General features: G+C 38.9%; 1 protein-coding gene and 1 long non-coding RNA gene across 3 annotated transcripts in view; one reads left to right on the plus strand and one right to left on the minus strand.

Annotated features, from left to right (window-relative positions):
• PHLDB2 (pleckstrin homology like domain family B member 2) overlaps positions 1 to 20,322 on the plus strand; it is a 244,022-nt gene that overhangs the window by 66,489 nt on the left and 157,211 nt on the right. The gene's annotated exons all lie outside the window — the stretch shown is intronic.
• LOC105374040 (uncharacterized) overlaps positions 194 to 20,322 on the minus strand; it is a 61,639-nt gene continuing 41,510 nt past the window's right edge. Inside the window, exons 3-4 of one of the 2 annotated variants that reach the window (XR_924333.4) lie at positions 10,200 to 10,297; positions 194 to 5,464 (exon numbers count right to left, since the gene is read on the minus strand). This is a non-coding gene — a long non-coding RNA (uncharacterized LOC105374040). Of the gene's footprint in view, positions 5,465 to 9,771; positions 10,298 to 20,322 lie in introns of those variants that run through there. The other variant, XR_001740850.3, reaches the window with a different exon arrangement.

Genomic DNA, 20,322 nt, shown 5'->3' on the forward strand with positions numbered 1-20,322 from the left:
TTACAATCATGGCAGAAGGGGAAGCAAACACATCCTTCTTCACATGGTGGCAGCAAGGAGAAAAATAAGAGCCAAGTGAAGCAGGAAGCCCCTTATAAAACCATTGGACCTTGTGAGAACTCACTATCACAAGAATAGCATGGGGGAAACCACCCCCGTGATTCCATTACTTCCCACTGGGTCCCTCCCATGACACCTAGGGATTATGGGAACTAAAATTCAAGATGAGATTTGGGTGGGGACACAGCCAAATCATATCACAAGCATTAAGAAGCTGGTACTCTTATTATAATGGGAGAGGCCCACATAGCCAAAAAAATCACTCTGAAATCTATCATGGTGTCAGCACAATTTGAACACAGACTGCTGTAAATAAAAGAGGAATAGTAGTCTTTGAATTTAATACTAGAAAAAAGTATTAGAAAAGAAAATTAAATTCTACTTCAGTTCTTCACATTGGTGAGGTAGACAGCTTCAATTGGTCTTTAAAAATATAGACTGATTTTCTATAAATTATTTTTTTGAAAGCTAGAAATACTTTAGAAATATGTCATCCCAATCAGAAAAAAGAAATTCTAAAGGAAGGTGAGGGAGAAGAACAAACAAGTAAATGTGAAATTGTCTCAAAGACATCAGGTTGGGTACTGAATTAAGTTTTTCTTAAAATCAAATTATAAAGACTTCCAGCAATTTCACTGCTGGAAATTTATACTGTGAATATCTTCCTATGTGAAGATATCTATTGTGGTTTTCCATAATTTACAGAAACTGAAAACAATGTTATGTATTCATCAGAAAGGACTGCTTTATTTAACTGTGTTCAACACATGTCATAGAGTACTATGCACTCCTGAAAATGAATTAGGGAGATCTATAGATACCAATATGGGAGGAGGTCTAAAAAATATTACTAAGTAAAAGGCAAGGAAAATAACTATATAGAAATATAAATAGAATCCTATTTGTGCAATAACAAGAGTGTATAAATGTACTCCTCATAAAGCATTTCTAGGAGGATACTCGAGAAACTTTTTTTTTGAGACAGAGTCTTACTCTGTTACCCAGGCTTGAGTGTGGTGGCACAATCACGGCTCACTGCAGACTCAACCTCCCTGGGCTCAGGTAATCCTCCCACTTCAACCTTCTGAGTAGCTAGGACTACAGGCATGCACCACCATGCCCACCTAGTTTTTGCAATTTTCTGTAGAGATGGGGTTTTGCCATGTTTCCCCGGCTAGTGTTAAATTCGTGGGCTCAAGTTTCTGCCTGCCTCGGCTTCCCAAAGTGCTGGGATTACAGACGTGAGCCAACATGCCTGGCCAAGAAACTCTTATTGAGCATATCTTTGGAAAATGAGACTGGGAAATTACATGAAAAGAAATTTTTATTTTATACCCTCTGTGCCTTTTGATTATTTTAAAATTATGGAGAGGTATTACTTTTGTATTACTTTTTGTTTATTAAATTCCTATACTATTATGCATATATCATTTTAAAACTATAGTTCTTTTAAGTTAAGTTTACTTGGGCAAATGTCCTAATTTCTTTTCTCACTGTATATCTTTAGTTTCTATATTCCAGTGACTTTGTTGTGGACTATGTGTTTGCCTCAGATTTTCCCATCTCTAATAATGTCATGAACTGGCATTTCTGAACTTTCATTTTTACTATTGGACTCTTTAATCCTGCTTGTTTTAAGAAGCATTTTGCAAGTTACACGTTAACTAAGATGCAGTACCTGATTTAAAGGGGACATACAATGCAATGAGAGAGACAGAAACTATTTTTACTTCATAAAATCCAGTTTTATAAAAAGCTCTGTTAATAACACTGAGGGAGTGTGAGAACACAAAAGAAAGCTTACTAAATTTGGCTGGGGAAAGAATCAAGGAAGATTTCTAAGAAGTTATGCCAATTAAGATAAATCTTGAAAAGATGAATCAGCTGGTACAAGTATAATACATTGCCTTCATAGATCATTTTGCAAGACTTAGAATTAGTGAAATTTAGACATAGAAGAGACCTTAAATAATATTAAATGTAACATTCTCATTTTTAAAATAGAGAAATGTGACTTGTTAAACAACATGAGCTGTGGGGTCAAATTCAATGGCCAATACAGAGTAGACACTTAATAAATATTTGCTCCCTTCAGAACTGGCCACATAAATTACAGGGCCCAGTGGAAAATGAAATACAAGGCCCCTTGTTCAAAAGTTATTAAGAATTTCAAGACAGTCACAACAGAGTGTTAAAACAAGCATAGGCCCCTCTGAGCACAGGGCCACATTGAAATAACCCACAGTCCTGGGGTTCATGAAGCAGGCCTCCCTCCCTCCTCTAATCTAAGTTTCAAGGGGTAAGTAGACACAGAAACTAAACAAGAACTCAGGTCTCCTTTGGATACAAAGACCTCAAAATTTTAAAAGCTCATAAACAATCTGTTCACCCAATATTTTTAACTGAGGTGATATGAAGATCTCATATTTATCTTTATATAATAGTTAATAAATTTGTGCCTTTATTCATTCATGTCACAAATATGAATAAATGTGTCCCAAGAGCCTAGGACAAGGCTGGTTCATAATAAGTATTCAGTGAAGAGTAGGTGAAGGATGGATGACCAGATGAATGAGTGACTAAACAATAAGCTACAATTGAGTATTATTGCCCATAAAAAGAAATAAAATTTTGATACATGTAACACCATGAATGAACCTTGAAAATATTATGCTAAGTGAAAGGAGACAGACACAAGAGATCACATAACATATAATTACATTTATATGAAATGTGTGGAATAGTCAAGTCTATAGAGACAGAACATACATTAGTGGTTGCTGGGGACTGGGAGGAGGGAAGAGTAAGGAGTGACTGCTCATGGATATGGGTGTTTTGTTTTGTTTTGTTTTGTTTTGGAATGATGACAATGTTCTGGAATAAGATAGCAGTGATGGTTGCACAACTTTGTGAATGTAATCACAAATATCATCAAATTCTAGACTTTATAAAGGGTGGATATTATAGTATATGAATTCTATCTCAATTTTTAGAATGTAAAACAATAAATTAACCAGGATAGAAAGATTTAAGTAACTTGCTAAAAATTGATTTGTGTTACTTGTGATGATTATGCATCTAACATCAAAACTTTGGCTCCTAGTTCAGGCTTTCTCCAGTCTATCAAGCTACTGCACAGAAAACTGCAGAGTGCCACCAGCTATCTCTATGGCTCCATGGAGCACTGTGCTTACATACAAGAAACCTCTCTTGTACCAAAGTGTAAACACAGTGGTGGCTGCATTCTGCCTCCAGAGGATCTGGCCTACAGAGTGAAGAATAAAGGGGAGACAGAGCAAGGGGAGAGCACTTTCCAAGAGCTTCCTCATTTTCTCTGTGTTGTCCTAGACACCACCCACTAGCCTTGTATCTCAGGTCTTGGTTGAGAAACCAAAATAACTAATGACACTCCTATGATGCCTTGGCAGCATTCCCTGATAACTTAGAATATTTATTTCCTGTTTTCCCAACTCTCATTTATTTCCATGCTAGCATAGAGCAAGATGACGTGTAACCTCTTGTGAAATGCTTGATATTTGTCCCTTAGAAGAGACATTAGTACTATACATTTAGCAAATAGTAAAATAACAACACTCATAGCTTGTTCTTGTGAGTAATATGTGAAAGTTTTCTAAACTGTATTTTAGTTTTAACTTACATTCGTTACAGCAGAGTGAGGCAAGCATCATGCATTCTCTCTCTTTTAAAGAAAAAGCACTAAAACTTCCATTTTTTCACTTCTAGTTTATGATCCTCTCTTCTTCCTTACCATGAGAATCAATAAGGGTGGGTGGTGTGAACACATGTTTTTTGTCCTGTCAGGAAAAGTTAAAGGTTATGGTCCTGCTCCCAAATGATAGATAATTAATCATCTTTAAAATGGCAACCTGTCACTGGAAAAGGAAAAGCAGAAATATAAAATAAAGCAGATATATGATATCAGGTAGCAACAAGGATGTCACAGATTTAATGAGTATAGGGGATGTTGTACAAAAAGTTTTATACTAATCTCTAGAAACAAAAGAAAAAGCAGAAATGATCTATATGTTCATAGTCTATATGGCCATCTCTCTAATTTTGAAATCAGCAGTCATTCCTTGGTTGGCATCTGCTACTTGGGAGCAGAGGATGGAAGAACACAGCAAACAAAAGTTTCATCGTTAAGCTGTGAAGCAGAGGGAACAGGCAGCTAGCCAAAACTTATGTGGTTCTTCAAATTTCTGATGGGGATCAGAGTGCCTCTCCCTCACTGACAAATATGGAATGGAATGTAAGGTTGCTACTAACAGGGTTCTCTGCAATCCTGAGATTGGTTCTGTTCTAGCCAAAGCTCTTGGATTCCTGTAAACTCCAGTCCAGTTGAAACTTCCCGGGAGAATGTGCCCCCACCACCCCGTGCAGAACTCCTGGACATCTTAGTGACAGCCCCACCCCCACCACTAGTCTTCCCAGAATTCGAGCTGTGAGAACACATCAATTCCTGACTCAGGCATTTGAGTCAATTTTCAGTGAACTCAGGATAGTAGAATGGAACACCATCTCACCCACCAGCAATCCCTGGCTAGCACATGAGTGGGAGGAAATCATGGGCTTTGAAATCAAACAAACTCAGGTTCTTACATTCACTAATTACACTCAGAAACTGTGTATTCTTTGTAGAATTTGAAAGTGTTAACCTCATTGAGCGTTACTTCCCTCAGCTATAAAAAATGGATATAACAATTTTTTTCTCTGATGTTGCTTTAAAACAAAGTGAGATAAAGAATGAAAATTTCCAATTTACAAATATTTCTTAACAAAGCGTAGATTTGTTCCTTTCTATTCCAAAGCTAATGACTTCAGGTGAAATGGTATCTTGAGAGTGGGGGGCATTCTGAGGAATCAGTCTCAGACCAAATTCATGTAATCAGTTGAAAACGTCCTGTTTGATTAGTCCCTTTAAACTCTTTATGTGCCTTTCCTGTCCTCTAATTCAGTTTCTAAACTTTTGTTCAGTATCACATCCCTAAAGAAGCCTTTTTAGACATTTTTTCTGATCGTCCTCTCCTCCATGAGATTTAATGCCACAGAGACACCATTATGTTGTTTGTGAACTGTATATAGGTATATCTGTGCTTTATACATTAAAATAGTAAGAAAATGTTAAACCCCCCAAGAACCAATTTTCACCCTTTGGTGGACAATATTGTTCCTATTGAGAACACATGGTCTATAAACAAACAAAAAGTTAGAAGAATCTTTGAAGAGATAATCTTTTAAAGCCTGTGAAAGAAGACATTATTGAATTCTTCTGAAGAACAGAGTCTTCCCTTCATCATCTCTTAACTATTAGAGGTAGAAAACTTTGGCGAAGTTTTAACAATTTCTTGATTTCCTATGTTTAGCCAATGATGTTCAGGTCAACCTGTTAGAAATAAAGAAAGAAGCCTCAGATGCAAAAAAGTAAATGATGATGCTAGGCCCCAACCTACTGATGTATTGTTTTCTACGCAGAGTATAAGATATACTATCTGCAGCATAAGTACAGTAATAATGGAGCTAAACCTCAAAAAATTAGTCCCACATCACTTGACTAATAGGTTTCTACTTTACTCCATGTGGATGTCCAGATTTTGCCCAATTAAACTTTCATTTCTTATTTAAAATTACAGCTAATACTTACCATTGAAATTTTGGGGGGAAAACTTTGCTAAACTGCAGTGTTTATTTGACTTTTTAAATAACTGTGATGCTGAACAGTAAGAATTAATTTGCACACAGGGCTTCTAAAAAGTGGGCCACTTCTTATTTTGAGAAAAACTTCAAAATTATGTAATAAATTTCACTGAGAAATAAAATATTGACATAAATAACAATAGAACAATATCAAGTTTTTGGTAAAATAAAAAGTTATTCATGTGAAAAATAAAATAATAGAACAATACTAGGTGCTGGGGAGGATGTGGAGCAACCAGAAGTCTTATACACTGCTAGCAAGAATGTAGAATTTGAAAGTGTCAACCTCAGTCACTTTGGAGAACAGTTTGACAATTTCTTAACACGTTAAACATACGTGTGCCTTGTTACCCAACAAGTCTACTCCTAGATATAGGAATTTACCCAAGAGAGATGAAACATAAGTCCACAAAAGACTTGTACATAAATGTTTATAGCAGCTTTGTTCATTATAGCCAAGAACAAATTATGATATATCCATACAAGCTAATACTACTCAACAATAAAAAAAATTACTGGGGCCGGGCGCTGTGGCTCAAGCCTGTAATCCCAGCACTTTGGGAGGCTGAGGCGGGCAGATCACGAGGTCAGGAGCTCGAGACCATCCTGGCTAACATGGTGAAACCCCGTCTTTACTAAAAATACAAAAAAATTAGCTGGGCATGGTGGCGCATGCCTGTAGTCCCAGCTACTCGGGAGGCTGAGGCAGGAGAATGGCACGAACCTGGGAGGCGGAGCTTGCAGTGAGCCGAGATTGCGCCGCTGCACTCCAGCCTGGGCGACAGAGCAACACTCCGTCTCAAAAAAAAAGAAAAAAAATTACTGGATAAATGCAACAACATGGATGGGTCTCATAAACAGCAAGCTTAGTGAAAGAAGCCAGACACAAAAGTATACATACTGTCTGATTCCATTTTTATGGAATGCTAGTAAAGACAAATCTAATCTATAGTGACAGAAAGCAGGTCAGTGGTGCCTGGGGCCAGGGGTGGTGAGTGGGAGTGTTGACTGGGAAGGACACAGGGAAATTTTGGGATGATGGAAATGTTTATATCTTGATTGTGATGGTGGTTGCATAGATGTATGCAAAAAAAAAAAAAAGAAGAAGAAAAAAGAAAAGATACAAGAAGTCAAGAAAGAAGCCAGTCACAGAAGACTACATTTTGTATTATATAAAATTCCATTTATATGAAATTTCTAGAAAAGGCAAAACAATAGAGACAGAGAATTGGTCAAGAGTTATCAATTGGATACTTAAATGGGTACATAAAAAAACAGGTCAAAATGTTGTTAAAGATTCAACAATTCAAGTTATCTGCTGTGAAAATGCCATAAAGAGTTAGTATCTCTAGAATCATTATAGCAGTCATCTTCTAGTGCAAGTCCCAGTACCATTTTTAACAGCCTTATTGAGGAATAATTTGCATATCATAAAATTCTCCCATTGTAAGTGTACAATTATAGAATTTTTGATGACTATATATGATTATGCAACCAGCACCACAGTCCAGTTTAAAACATACCCATCACACCAGAAAGTTCCCTCACACCTGTGGCAGTCAATCCCCTCTCCCACCCCAGCCAACCACCGAACCAATTCTCTGTCTCTATAGTTTTGCCTTTTCTAGAAATTTCATATAAATGGAATTTTATATAATACAAAATGTAGTCTTCTGTGACTGGCTTCTTTCTTGCCTTCTTGAATCTTTTCTTTTTTTTTCTTCTTTTTTTTTTCTTTTTTTTGAGACGGAGTCTCACTCTGTCACCCAGGCTGGAGTGCAGTGGCTCAATCTTGGCTCACTGCAACCTCTGCTTCCCGGGTTCAAGCAATTCTCGTGCCTTCAGCCTCTCAAGTAACTGGGACTATAGGCACGAGCCAGCACACCTGGCTAATTTTTGTATTTTTAGTAGAGACAGGGTTTCACCACACTGGCCAGGCTGGTCTTGAACTCCTGACCTCAGGTGATCCGCCTGCCTCGGCCTCCCAGAGTGCTGGGATTACAGGCATGAGCCACTGCACCTAGCCCTTCTTTTTTTTTTTAATAACTTTTTTTTTGAAATGGGGTTTCACTGTGTTGTCCAGGCTGGTCTTGAACTTCTTCCTAGGCTCAAGCACCCTTCCTGCCTTGGCCTCCTAAAGTGCTGGGATTACAAGCATAAGCCACCATGCCCAGCCCCTTTTTGTTTTCTTAAGATGAAGAAGTTCTAGTTATGGGACTTGTAAGAGACATTAGTTGCAGGTCCAGAGCACACATTTGCCGATTCTCAGTCCAGGACTTAGCTGTGACACCATGCTATTGTCAGGATACAGTATACTAGATACAGGATACTAGAATAGGAAAAAAATAAACCTGGTTTAGGGGATCAGAATGGCTATTTCTAGCCATCCAACTCAACTTATCTGAGATTCAATTTTCCCTTATATACAATGAGGATAATAATGTCTAATGCATAGCTCTGTTGTGAGGAATAAATTAAGTGTACAGAGTACCAAACATAGAGACAGGCAAACATTAGGAATTTAATAAATGATAATTGCTGACTAGAAAATCACTTAAAGTACAAATGTTCATCTTGAGACAAAGAACATAAAGAGGGAAAGTCATAAATGTTGGAAACTGAAGATTAGGGTTTAAACATTGACTTATTTAAATCTCAAAAGAAGCATGAATCCCTGCCAGGCATAGTGGCACACACCTGTAATCCCAGCAACTCTGGGAAGCCAAGTTGGGAGGATTGCTTGGGGCCAGGAGTTTGCCCAGGAGGCCTGGGCCACATAGGAAGACCCCATCTCTACAAAAAAATAAAAATTTAAAAAAAATAGCCAGGCGCGTGATTTTTTTAATTTACACGCCTGTAGTCCTGTAGTCCCACTTGTAGTCCTGACTACTCAGGAAGCTGAGGCTGAAGGATTGCTCAAGCCTAGGAATTCAAGGCTGCAGTGAGCTATGATGGACCCACTGCACTACAGCCTGGGCGACAGAGTGAGACCCTGTCTCAAAAAAGGAGAAGAAGAAGGAGAAGGAGAAGAGAATAAGGAGAAGGAAGAGGAATAGGAAGAGGAGGAGAATGAATCTCACAGATTTAAGACAGTGCCAGCTAAATTGGGAATTATTTGCTAAATGTAGTTAACTGAACATTGCTTTATTTCTTTGATAAGAGGACCATTTTATAAATAAGCTGGGTGTTTTTTTTTTTTTTTTTTGCCTAATTTTATGAGTGACTCAATAGTTCTCAGGCCTGGCTGCACATTAGAGTCACCTGGGGAGTGTTAAAAATTACCAATGCCTGGGACCCAGCCCAGAAATTCTGATTTCATCGGTCTGGAAAGGGGCTGGGGCATTGGTGATTTTAAAGTTTCTCCTGGCAATATTAATGTAAAACCATTGTAAAGAACTCACAGCAGCATTAACAGTTTGATTCTCTGGGTCTTAGGGAATGTGTTCAAAATTGTGGGGTGAACTGTCTTTAGAGTATGCCACTCTGACATCTTAGAAAGAGACAAACCACAGAGACTAGCTGTACCCACCCAGATGTTCTATCCACAGATGATCTTTTCTTATTTTTCTACATGGTGTTGTATGTTTGTGCAATCAAACATAAGGGCTTTGCATGAATGACATTAGCTATGTCTGCTCGGAAAAAGGAGGTTGCCCTTCACCTCCACATCCTGTGCTGCCACTTTTCTTTTGAGTCCTCGGTCAGAGCTGGGTGTTTAAACATATATTCTGGGTTTTTTTTTTTTTCATCTTTTATTTTGGATTCAGAGGGTACACATGCAGGTTTGTTACATGGGTATACTGCGTGGTGCTGGGGTCTGGGACATGGATGATCCTGTCACTCAGGTAGTGCAGAAAGAGTAAACATGTATTCTTAAGCAATACATGTATATCTCATGAGTCACAGCTTCAAGAAGACAAATACAATCTGCATGGACTGGTGCTCTAATTAAAAACTCTAAAGACTCAGGAGGCCTGGATAAGTCTCCTGCCCTCTTTGGTCTTCAAATATTTAATTTGTACAATTAATGGATTTCCTTTTATAACCCTAAGGTATTTTCCAGTTACTATGATTCACTGGTTGTAATTCTCATAACTAATATAATAAAGAGCAAATTCTTTATATAGCATCCATTTAGAACTCTACTACTAGTACTAAACAATTCCTAAAATAAGGGTTTATATCTCTGTTAAAGTCATTAGTACATACACATAAATAATATCTTGGTCTTTGACTAGTATATTTATTTACCAAGAAATGCAATGGCTTAATCTATACTTTCCAGAAGGAACTGACTGCTGTCATCGAGGAGGAATAGTCACATAAATAAATTATTGTTCTTCACACATAGTACTCACAAAACCTTAGTTAATTGATTATTCAATTATGATATTGTGAAACTGTAACATGACATTAATCATTACCTGGTGAAATGATCATGGGCCTTTGTGTGATGCTGCGGCTTCCTGGGAAACTCACTAATGTATTCACATAAACCAGATGTGCCAGAAGAAAGCTCTTGCTGTGGAATTGATGGAGAGTTTGTTTAAAGAAAGGAAAACAACTCTAAATAGTAAAATAAATATTTTCTTCTGCCTTTGGGTGACCTTATGCTCAACCTCTTCCCTTATGAGAATGCTGTCTCCAAGCCTGTGGTTCTATGGCATGTCAGTAATCTGAAAAGTCTATCTGAAGTCCAGCAGTGGGCCACTGCCCAGCCTCACAAGCCTGATTTCCTCTTCTTTTCTCCACAAACACCCACATACTTATTAGCTCCCTCAGTTCTTAAAATGGATTCTTTTTATCTAATGCCAACTTATCACTGTATATCAGGTCTTTGACCCTGAAATATCTTTAGTAAGTTTGCTTTTCTTTGTTGCTAAGGCAAAGCCTGGCAGATTTACCTATCATCAAGAAGCTCTGATTTGTGGTGGTGCTAAGTTTGGAAGAAATATGAATCAATGAAATAACTTACCTGAAGTAAGAGTCACTTTAAATTAAGTTTATCAGCCCAGTCACTTGTAAAGGTTTGAAGACAATAGTCATGATGTAATAAAAGAGTATGCAAACTCAAGAGTTTAGATACACCTCAAGCATATAATAGAGTAACAAATTTCAGTTATGCAAGATGAAGACGTTCTAGAGTTCTGTTGTACAACCTATAGTTAGGAATTCTCCCTCCTCAGCCTCCCAAGTAGCTGGGACTACAGGCATGCATCACTGCACCCAGGTAATTTTTTAAAACTTTTTTGTGGAGATGAGCTCTCATTATGTTGTCCAGGCTGGTTTAAGAGCGTTAGTGCATCATGTTATGGTTAACAATCCTAAGGAAACACCAGTAGGGCATCACTCTAACACTGCCATGGAGCTATCTGAAAGAAGCTAGAGGCTATTAAGCCAAATGCAAGGTGACACACACAGAGGCCATACACACTAACCACAACCTGAGAGCACCTGAGATAGGAAATATGTGTTCCAGGAAGGGGCCTATCTGGGACCATATTACCGTGTGTTTTCATGTCCATTTCTGAAACTAGGCCTACTCTGCATGACTATCTTAATCTCCTCAGGCTGCCATAACAAATACTATAGACTGGGCGGCTTAAACAACAGAAGTTTATTTCTCACAATTCTGGAAGCTGGAAAGTTCAAGCTCAGGGTGCCAGCATGCTCAATTTCCGGTGGGAGCCCTCTTCCTGGCTTGCAGACAGCCCCCACTTTGTTGTGTGCTCACATGATCTTTCCTTGGTGCATGTATGTGAAGAGAGGGCTCTGTCTGTCGTCTCCTTTTAAGACCACTAATCCTATCAGATTAGGACCCCATTCTTATGACCTCATTTAACCTTAATTACCTCCTAAAAGTTCTCTTTAAATACAGTCATATTGAGGGTTAGGGCTTCAACATATAAATTTTCCAAGGACGCTATTCCGTCCATAGCAATGATATAGCAACCCACACAGACTATCCCTAAATGTAGAAATCAGTGTTACTCTTCAAAGCAACACATTTTTAAAAATATGTCTTCCAAATGCCTTATTTTTGACAACGGAATCCTTTGTCCAAAATAAATTTTACAAAGATCCTCAGTATATAATATAATAAATAAATACACTGGACAGTAAGTTTGGGAAATGTGTTTGATCTGTGTAGGGATGTACAGTTGTATCTGCACTAAACTAGCTCTGCAAGAGGATACAGAAGAGATTTCAAAGAGCTGTCATCCTAGGTAAATGGCCCAGATACATGCTCCATGAACCCCCTCAGGGAAACATCTTTGCTATTAAACAGGATAATCTGTAAGCAGAGCCAAAAAGGACTTTGGATGCAAGAAGAGACCAGGGGATGTCTCATCCTGAGTCATCAGGATATTTCTCAGGAGGATTTAAGTAACTGGTCTTACAGTTAAAGCCTCCTATAAAAATGTACTCCATTTAGCATTTAACTAATAAAACCAAGTACCTACAAAACTAGAAGCTTTATCCCATTAAGGAACCTTTCAGGACTTGGTGTTTGCATGAAACAGAAAGTAATCATTGCTATAGGAGAGTCCAAGTCTCTTCATGAAATCATTTTAAAAAATGTATTCTACTGTGGTCAGGAGAACTCTTGCATTATGCATATTTTGCTACCAATTAGTCTTGGTGAAGAAATGGCCCAGTTTTCTCACTGGCAAATTAAAGGGTAGATTAGGCCAGTGAGTGTCAAGCTTTAATGTACAAAAGAAATCGTTAGGCAGTTTATTTATTATTAATAATATGCAGGTTTTTAACCTGTAGGCCCCACAAAAATTTTGATTCACTTGCTCTGTGACAAGATTCAGGAATCTTAATTATTTACTGGCACCCTATTGATTGTGATACAGGTAATCAATAGATTCCTCACTACACACACACATACACACACACGAAAAAATGAAATGATGATCTTTAAACTCTTTCTGTCTTTCAGATACTATAATTCTGTTTTTAAGGTTCATATAAGCAAAGCAGGATATTAGGCCTACATTCCTGACCTATCTGCCAAAGAATTATTAAAAACAAACATCTTTTGCTCACTCTAAGCACACTGGATGATGCCATTATGATAAAGTCCAGGAGAGAGAAAGAGATGAAATCATGATGTCTAAACTATATTCATTTTTGTGACCTTCATCCTATATAAGCTGCTTTCCACCTTAACTGTGCATGTTCAAAACATTGCCCCAAGGTGAGAGAAAATTGCTTGGAATGTTCCTTCATCAACATCTGCTCTCTTTCTTCTGGCCCTGCTATCAACCCCGTCTCTGTGAAATCTCAGAACCTGAATTCCAGTATTTAGATTAAAGAAAAGGGGCTTCTCTGCTGTCTCTTATCTCTGATTCCATTTCCAAGGCCATTAATATATTTCAGGCAGACAGATTTTTGTTTTACAGACTATTTCTTTTTCTAGGATGTTCCCAGTCATTTAGAACATCATCCATATATCCAGGCCATCTTTCTGTGATCACCATTTGTTTTCAGTTGATACAAATGGAGTTTAAGACAGTTTCCTTGAAGGCAGGAATGCTGTGTGTGAATTGTGACTCTATGAAAAGTTACAGTGAACACAAAAGCTAACACTTTGTAAGAACAGTACTCTGCAAGGGGAAATGGAGAGGACAGTATAAACATATGATGTCTGAATTAGCAAATGAAACATAAGTTTATGTGATGATCCAATGGAAGGACCAGGTAACTGAATGTTTTCATGGAGTTTCTCAACTTTGGAAGGAATCAGTGAATGAGGAGGAATTAATGACCTCATTGGGAGATTTTCAGCTGGCTTCTTCTACACTATGAGACCATCTCCAGGCTTAGGATGAGTTTGCTTAGTATGATCATCCTAGGACAGTCCCTTTGCTGCCTGGTTTTATCCCAACTGTTCAAAGCAGCTTCATTAAGATTTTTTCCCTGAGAGAACTCAGATTGGAGCTTCATCAAATACCACTAGCCTTTGACTTTCTGCAGAGAAAGTTAATGAATATAGCTTGGAGCCAGACAAATTAATTTTTTACATTTTCTGTTTATTTTTAACTCTTGTTTCAAAAGGGTAGAGAGAGTGGAGACATAACAATCAAGCTTTTACAGCCAAAATCCAGGGGTGAGGTCATGTGGTCCTAGAAAGGAAGTGTGGGGAAAACATTACAAACATTGGCAGGATGCTTCCCCCATAGCATTATCACATTGCTTTGTGACTGGTATTTAATAGCTATCCTTTCTCAGACTAGAAGCTCCGCTAAAGAAGAGACCAAGGCTTCAATAATCAAAATCTAGCAGAGTGCTTTAGCACATAATGGTAGTTTGTAGCATGTTTAACTTAAAAGACTCCAGCTGAATGGACACTTCCCATTCAAGTATAAAAAAACTGTAGGAGGAGTTGGGCAGATGTTAGTAAAAGGATACAAAGTTTCAGCTTGGGGAAACAAGTTCAAGAGAGCTGTTGTATAATGTGATTACTATAGTTAATAACAATGTATTGTACTTTTGTATACTACATATGACATTTTTATTTGTCCATTAAAATAAATAAATAAATAAATCCATGTACAATATATTTTGGAGGCTTAGATATTTTTTTTAAAAGGGAAAGGATATTTTTAGTATATTTAGTTTCCCCCTCTTTTGGTCTTTAGTTAATCCTTAACATGTAAAATAATTGACAGGTGAAATTTTTGTGGCTTAAGGCTAAAGCAAACCTACCAGCCTTTGGGCTTTTATGACAAATTTTCCCTCCTATCAGAATAAATGTAATAGTAAATGTTATAACTGAAAGTCTAAAACAGCGTGTTACACAACATTCAAAATTATACAAATCTTTGGAATTCTTAGTGGAAAAATGACTAAAAGGAAAGGAAAATGGAAGAGTGCCAAAAATTGCTAATAATTATAAACCAATTGGAAAAACTACAAAGTATATTTAAGGCTGCAATCTGGTTCAGACTTTCTCTTCTTTGCCACCAGTTCTTGAGCTGAGTGAAGAAGTAATGTATTTGGATGCATACAATTCATTGTGTGATATTTAGGCCACTTAATTAGAGCAAACACATAGTTTTATCAAAAAACTGGGGATGCTTTTGTGAGTGAAAAGGGGCACTAAAGAAGGCCTGTTTCAAACAACCCAAGATATGTGGTTGCTGTGCTCTTCATCCACTTAAGGGGCTTCTTTTTATTCTATGTCATTTGTTCAAAATGCTCAATATTTGCTAAGAGGGAGATCTTAATTCAACTCCCACAGTGTGCCAGGTAGAGGTGAACATAAGTCTCCTTCAAATACCCAATTGCAGCTGAGCTGTAAGGACATGGTCCAAAACAGTGTATTCCAAAACGTGGGATACACCACTGTGATAGTTAATACTGAGTGGATTGAAGGATACAAAGTACTGATCTTGGGTGTGTCTGTGAGGGTGTTGCCAAAAGAGATTAACATTTGAGTCAGGCTAGGGAAGGCAGACCCACCCTTGATCTGGGTGGGCACAATCTAATCAGCTGCCAGTGCAGCTAGAATATAAGCAGGAAAAAAAAATGTGAAAAAGAAAGACTAACAGCCTCCCAGCCTACATCTTTCTCCCATGCTGGTTGCTTGCTGCTCTTGAACATCAGACTCCAGGTTCTTCAGTTTTGGGACTCGGACTGGCTCTCCTTGCTCCTGAACTTGAAGACAGCCTATTGTGAGACTTTGTGATCATGTAAGTTAATACTTAATAAACTCTCCTTTATATATGAGCAGTTCTTAAAATAAGATTGGAAAACAGATTTTCTTATTGTACCCCATGATGTTAAGTTTTCTACATAGATGTCTGCATGGTTCATGTAGTGTTATTAACAGAATACCTGAAATGAAGTATTTATTTAAAAAAAAAAAAAAAGCAGAGAGGTGGGGGTTGGCTTATGATTCTAGTGGCTGGAAAATTTGAGACTGGGCATTTGCATCTGGTGAGGGCTTCAGGCTGTCCTCATGGCAGAAAGCAAAATGGGGAGCTTACAAGCACAAAGAGAGGGAAACCCGAGGAACATCCTGGCTTTATAACAACCCACTCTCTCAGAAACAAATCCATTTTTGAGAGAACTAGTCCAGTCTTACAAAAGTGATAATATGGTTTGGCTGTGTCCCCACCCAAATCTCATCTTGAATTATAACTTCCACAGTTCCCACGTAGTGTGGGAGGAACCTGGTGGGAGGTGATTGAATTATGGGTGCGGGTGTTTCCTGCGCTGTTCTTGTGATAGTGAATGAGTCTCACGAGAGCTGGTGGTTTTAAAAATGGGAGTTTCTATGCACAAGCTCTCTCTTTGCCTGCTGCCATCCATGTAAGATATGACGTGCTCCTCCTTGCCTTTCACCTTCCACCATGATTGTGAGGCCTCCCCATCCATGTGGAACTGTAAGTCCAATAAACCACTTTCTTTGGTAAATTGCCCAGTCTCAGGTATGTCTTTGTCAGCAGCATGAAAATGGACTAATACAGTATATTGGTACCAGTAGAGTGGGGCACTGCTGAGAAGATACCCAGAAATATGGAAGTGAGTTTGGAATTGGGTAACAGGCAGAAGTGGAACAGTTTGGAGGGCTCAGAATAAGACAGGAAAATGTGGGAAAGTTTGGAACTCCCTAGAGACTTACTGAATGACTTTGACAAAGTGCTGATAATGATATGGATAATAAAGTCCAGGCTGAGGTGGTCTCAGATGAAGATGAGGAATTTGTTGGAAACTAGAGCAAAGATGATTCTTGCTTTGTTTTAGCAAAGAGGCTGGTGACATTTTGCACCTTCCCTAGAGATTTGTGGAACTTTCAACTTGAGAGAGATTATTTAGGGTATCTGGCCGAAGAAATTTCTAAGCAGCAAAGCATTCAAGGGGTGACTTGGGTGCTGTTAGAGGCATTCAGTTTTATAAGGGAAGCAGAGCATAAAAGTTCAGAAAATTTGCAGCCTGACAACACTATAGAAAAGAAAATCCCATTTGCTGAGGAGAAATTCAAGCTGGCTGCAGAAATGTACATAATTAATGAGGAGTCAAATAATCCCCAAGACAATGGGGACAATGTCTCCAGGGCATGTCGAGGTCTTTACAACAGCTTCCTGGAGGCCTAGGAGGAAAAAGCAGTTTTGTGGGTTGGGCCCAGGGTCCCATGCTGTATGCAGCCTAGGGACTTGGTGCCCAGCTGCTCCATATGTGCCTGAAAGGAGCCAACATAGAGCTTGGGCCATGGCTTCAGAGGGTGTAAGCCCCAAGCCTTAGCAGCTTCCACATGGTGTTGAGCCTGCGAGTGAACAGAAATCAAGAATTGAGGCTTTAGAACTTCCCCCTAGATTTCAGAAGATGTATGAAAACACTTGGATGCCCATGCAGAAGTTTGCTGCCAGGGTGGGGCCCTCATGGAGAACCTCCACTAGGGCAGTGCAGAAGGGAAATTTGGGGTCAGAGCCCCTACACAGAGTCCCTACTGAGGCACTGCCTAGTGGAGCTGTGAGAAGAGGGCTACCATCCTGCAGACCCCAGAATGGTAGATCCACTGACAGCTTGAACTGTTCACCTGGAAAAGCCACAGACACTCAATGACAGCCCGTAAAGGGAGCTGGGAGGGAGGCTGTACCCTGCAAAGCCATAGGGGCAGAGCTTCCCAAGACTATGGGAACCTACCTCTTGCATCAGCGTGACCTGGATGTAAGACATAGAGTGAAAGGAGATTATTTTGGAGCTTTAAGATTTGACTGCCCCACTGGATTTTGGTCTTGCATGGGGCCTGGAGCCCTTTGTTTTGGCAAATTTCTCCCATTTGGAATGGCTGTATTTACCTGATGCCTGTACTCCCCATTATATCTAGGAAGTAATTAACTTGCTTTTGAATTTACAGGCTCATAGGCAGAAGGGACTTGCCTTGTCTCAGATTAGATGTCGGACTGTGAACTTTTGAGTTAATGCTGAAATGAGTTAAGACTTTGGGGGACTGTTGGGAATGCATGATTGGTTTTGAAATGTGAGGACATGAGATTTGAGAGGGGCCAACAGTGGAATGATATGACTTGGCTGTGTCCCCACCAAAATCTCATCTTGAATTGTAACTCCCACAATTTCCACATGTTGTGGGAACAACCCAGTGGGAGGTGATTGAATTATGGGGGTGAGTCTTTCCTGCAGTGTTCTCATGATAATGAATGAGTCTCACAAGATCTAATAGTTTCAAAAGTGGGAGTTTCCCTGCACAAGCTCTCTTTTTGCCTGACACCATCCATGCAAGACATGACATGCTCCTCCTTGTCTTTCACCTTCCACCATGATTGTGAGGCCTCCCCAGCCATGTGGAACTGTAAGTCCAATAAACCTATTTCTTTTGTAAATTACCCAGTCTCAGGCATGTCTTTATCAGCAATGTGAAAACGGACTAATACAAGCGATTACCAGAAGAACAGCACCGAGCTATTCATGAGGGATCCACCCACTAGCCAAACACCTCTCACTATGCCCCACCTCCCAATACTGCAACTCTGGGGATCAAATTTCAACATGAGCTTTGGTGGGAATAAACAAACAGTATCCAAACCACAGCAACATCTTATGTTGCTTTATGCACAAGAAGAGAAGTTTATTTAATGTTTCTTGCATATAAGACGTGAATGAGGATCCATACCAGCTGACTTAAAGGTATAAAGGAGAAAGAATAGGATTGGCACAGTGCTGGTCTTTATCATTTCTTAGTAATAGAAGAAAATCATTAGAAAGGTCACTTTCTGAGGATGTCACCTTTAAATCCTTTACACTACCATCTTTTTATTCTTTACTTTTCAAATTAAGGCACAAGAACAACTTGTATCCCTTAACCAAAATTATTTTCCCATATTTTCTAGCATTTTGTTAGACCTTTCCAAACTCTTATCTCATAGCCAATTGTACTTAGGACCGTGGTTCCCCAGGTAGACATAGCCCAGCGTATGAAAATAGGCTCAGAATATCTAGAGTGCTGGAGACCATGACTTCTCAGATTCTGTAAACACACTAATAATACCACAGTTTAGCTGACTGAGTTATAAGCATCAAATCAGACTGAGCAGAAATGAAAGTGAGTTTTGTTTACTTTACTGGCAATATGTCTCTTGTGGGAGAAGATAGGCTGGTAATATTAATATATTATTGAAATTAATAAGTACAAGACAAGCTAACATTTGTAGCTCATTTGGCCTTTATTTGTTCTTTGATGAGCTATGGTGCCTTATTTTATTCGTTTATGCTTTTCTCATTTTTGTTCACTAATGTTCATCTCTGAGATTGATCTCTTGTGAAAAAAGGCCTTTGATATAAGGTTATAGTTTCTATTAAATGTAAGCTGACTCATAGGGATAGGTTTTGAGAAGCCAGTCTTGCTTAAAAAGAAATTTTTTAAAAAACTGGTGTGTGTGTGTGTGTGTGTGTGTGTGTGTGTCTGCATGTGTTACTATTTAGTAAAGTATCAAAGAGAAATGTAGTGGCCTTGGAAATGGAGAGATGATAGACCTTGTTTGAGATGAAGGAAGTGGAATCCTCTTAGAAGCCATGTATTTAATAAATGGTACAACCTATCTAAACTCAGCACAAATATGTTCACAAAATTGGTCACATTTTTGTTACTTACTTGACCCTCTTCCCTAACATGGGCTATTAGTACTAAGCCCAGTTTCTGCCTTTGGTACAAAGTCTCAAATCTTCTACTTAACTGTATTGTTCAAGAACTCTAGGAACTGACTTTTTTCCCAGTAGGCTAGTCCTGCTTCCACTCTCTAAGTTAAGAGTCTGATTGGATGACTAGTGCCATATTTCCACAATGCCATACACTGTCACAGCTGAAGATGGGTCTTACAAATTCTAAAAGCTCTTTGCAGTCATGGCCTTGCTAGCTAGAGCCTTACTAGCACCAGAGTGAAAGACAAAAATAGGGCTTTAAAATTTCAGCTCTCTTATGCCATTTTCCACAAGGCTGACACCAGTCCAGATCTGCTGAATTCTAAAAAAATTCTGCCATTGGCTCCATGCTGGGCCATAATAATCACTGAACCCCTTGAACCTTGGTCACTATACTAGATGCCTCCTCTCCTCAAGGTTGGTTTCATTCCATGAGTTTTGTTACTTTTCCCTTCCAATGCACCTTCCAAATTTCATGTCCACCTGTCCTAGTCAATTTAGGCTGCCAAAACAAAATGTCATCAATTGGGTGGCTTAAACAACAGAAATGCATTTTCTCACAGTTTTGGAGCCTAGAAATCCGAGATTAGAATGCCAGCATGGTCAGGATCTGGTAAGGACACTCTTCCTGGCTTGTAGATGGCTGCCTTCTCACTGTGTTCTCATATTCAGAGAGAATGTGTGTGCAAGTTCTCAGGTGTCTATTCTTATGAGGGCACTCTTTTCATCATGAGGTCTACCATTGTGGCTTCATTTAAACCTACTTATCTCCCAAATGCCCATCTCTGACTGGGGGTTAGGGCTTCCACGTATAAATGGGGTGGGGGGTGGCTGTGGGGCAAAATTCAGTCCATAGCACCATCCTAGTTTACA

Source organism: Homo sapiens, chromosome 3 (assembly GCF_000001405.40).
Source record: "Homo sapiens chromosome 3, GRCh38.p14 Primary Assembly".
NCBI lineage: Eukaryota > Metazoa > Chordata > Mammalia > Primates > Hominidae > Homo > Homo sapiens.